Genomic DNA, 3,196 nt, shown 5'->3' with positions numbered 1-3,196 from the left:
GGAGGTCAAATAGCAACATTAACAAGAGTTTAAAAGAAATTGATTTCAACCATCATGGATGACATAGAGGGGTTTGTAATTTTACATGAGGAAGTAACTACAGATGTAGTGAAAATAGGAAGACAAAGAATTAAAAGTGGAGTCTGAAGATGCAACTGAATTGCAGCAATCACATGATAGAACTTGGAGAAGGAGTAGTTGCTTCTTATGGATGAGCAAAGAAATTGATTTCTTGAGATAAAATCTACTCCTCATGAAGATGCTATGTACATTATGAAGATGACAACAAGCAATTTGGACTATCATGTAGACTTAATAAGGTTGCAGCAGAGTTAGAAAGGACCAACTCCAATTCTCAAAAAACCTCTACTGTGTGTAAAATGTCATCAAAGAGCATTGCATGCTACAGAGAAATAGTTCCTGAAGAGTCAATCAATGTGGCAAACTTCATTGTTGTCTTATTTTAAGAAATTGCCAAAGCCACCCCAACCGTTAGCAACCATCCCTCTGATCAGTCAGTAGCCACCAACATCAAGGCAAGACTCTCAGCCAGAAGAAAGATTATGACTTGCTGAAGGCATAGATGAATGTTAGCATCTTCTAGCAATAAAATATTTTTGATCAAGGTAAGTAATACACATTTTTAAAAACGTGATGCTATTTCATACTTAATAATCTACAGTACAGTGTAAATGTAACTTTTATATGCACTGGGAAAACTAAAAAAATCCTTTGACTGGCTTTATTGCAATATTTGCTTTATTGTGGTCGTCTAAAGGTGAACCCACAATATCTCCAAGGTATGACTGTATTATTTTATACAAAAATACTATGCCCATATGGAAAGAAATAGTCACTTGCCGGAAAAGCATATATTACTCTTATTTCTGCATCACATATATGTATACATAATTGCAGTAATTACATATACATATATATAAGTAATTGAAGTTATAATCATATATGTGTGTGTATATATGTATGCGTGTGTGTGTGTTTGTATATATGATGATTAACTGCAGGTACAGATTGAGCATCCCTTATTCAAAGTGCTTAGGACCAGAAGTGTTTCAGATTTCTGATTGTTTCAGATATTGGAGTGTTTGCATATACATAGTGAGATACCTTAAGGATGGCACTCAAGTCTAAACATGAAATTCATTTATATTTAATATACACCTATAAAAACAGCCTGAGGGTAATTTCATACAATAGTTTTAATACTTTTGTGCATGAAACAAAGCTTGTGTACATTGATCCATCAGAAAGCAAAGCTATCATTATGTCATGTTTGTGCTCAAATAGTTTCAGATTTTGAAGCATTTTGGGTTTTGAATTTTGGGATTAGGGATGCTCCACCAGTCTATAAATATATACACATACATACACATACATACCACACACACATACACACGTAGACACATATATACAGTACATATACATACACGGTGTGTATACATATATACACATATACACTATATGTACATGCACATACACTGTATATATACACATACTATATATATACACACTGTATGTACATACATACTGTATATATATATGTACACACACACACACACACACACAGTAAAGCAATAATATTGATGGGCTCCATAAAATATACAAGTAGAACAATGAGATTTACTAGCTCACAGAAAATTAGGACATCTCTAATGTGTAATATATATTTCAAAGCTATAAATGCCAGGTTTTAGTTTAACAGATAGAACAGATAGCAGATTTAATGTAACAGAGAGAAGATGTTTTATCTCTTAGCCCCAGGGCTTCTGTCATGCCATAAAAGCAAGTCTGCTATTTAAATCATAATAAGAATCTGAGAAAAAGTCTTTTGTAGGCTATATCAATTTTTTTTTAAATTTTTATGTTTTGTTTTAATCACACCAATTTTTAAGTTAGTTGACCATAAAACAGCAAACAGTGAGGGACTAAACTTGTGGGCTCATCACACAGTATCAAGCATAGTTCCTCTCTTCTATTTAAAATATAAATTCTAATTATGTAAGAATAGTTTTTTAACATGAATAAACAATATCCTAAATGATAATTTTACATAAGTAATTAAACAAACTAGACAATTTGCTGGAGATTCATGTGTATAATCATCCACTAGTATCACAGAAACAAAGATGTTGTTTCTTAGAAATTCTGACTCTGTGAAACCTAAAAATGGCATAATTGGTCTTTTTAGGTGCATTGCATATTTTTCAGTAGGTAAATCATTCAAGGTGGCAATATTTTACTAAATTTCAGTATTAAAAAAAGAAAAGAAGCAATATTTTAAAACATAAAACAATGAAAACTTTTTTACAGAATGGAAAGGTTTATTACAAGGAAGGCTGAGGGAATGCAGAATAAGTCTGTCTCTTTAATAAAATGCTCCATCCATCATCCAAAGTACACAATATTTTACTTTCATGCCAACACATTTCTTTGGCAGTGTCATCATATGGTGATAAGAGCACAGGCATTGAAATAAGAGACACTTGCAACTTACAAGCTGAGTGATGCTGAGTGATATAGTTGGGTTCACCCATCTCCAATTCCTTCATCAGTCAAATAGAAATAATAAGACATACTGTACAGGGTTCTTGCCTGTAAAGTGTGTATTATTTCATATGATGCCAATGGCACTTTCCATTTACTGTTATTTTTATTTAGGGCACATGTTGTTTTTAATGAAAAAAAAAAGGTACTTATTAGAAGTCACCTGCCTTGCTATGTTATTTTTCTAACTCCTGGGAATATGACACCCAGTAATATCATAGCATGTTATTATTCTCTATTTATATCTGCCTTACTATTAGATTAAGACACAGGCAAAGTAAATACAAATGTTTTGGAGGTTTTTGCTTCCATGATTTATTTCAAAGGAAAATCCATTTTACCTGAGATGGTGTAAATATTTGAAGAATATTGAATCTGTTTCTGATTATTAATACCATAATTCAGGAAAACCCTACACAACATTAGTATACTTCAAGTTTTGCAACTACAAACCTGTAAGAAAATAAGCATTATGCAGACCAGAAGAGTGATCTCAGATAATTCAAAGAATTTGGCCGAGGTCAAGGAGATTTTAAGGAGCCTAATCAGACATAACAAAGGCTTTCTCCTATAATCCACCTGCAGAAGCAATGAGGGTTGCAAAATGATGCATCCAGAAGTATGATGATTAAAA

This window comes from Homo sapiens, chromosome 2 (assembly GCF_000001405.40).
Source record: "Homo sapiens chromosome 2, GRCh38.p14 Primary Assembly".
In the NCBI taxonomy this organism is placed as follows: domain Eukaryota; kingdom Metazoa; phylum Chordata; class Mammalia; order Primates; family Hominidae; genus Homo; species Homo sapiens.
Note: the sequence above shows the minus strand (reverse complement) of the source record.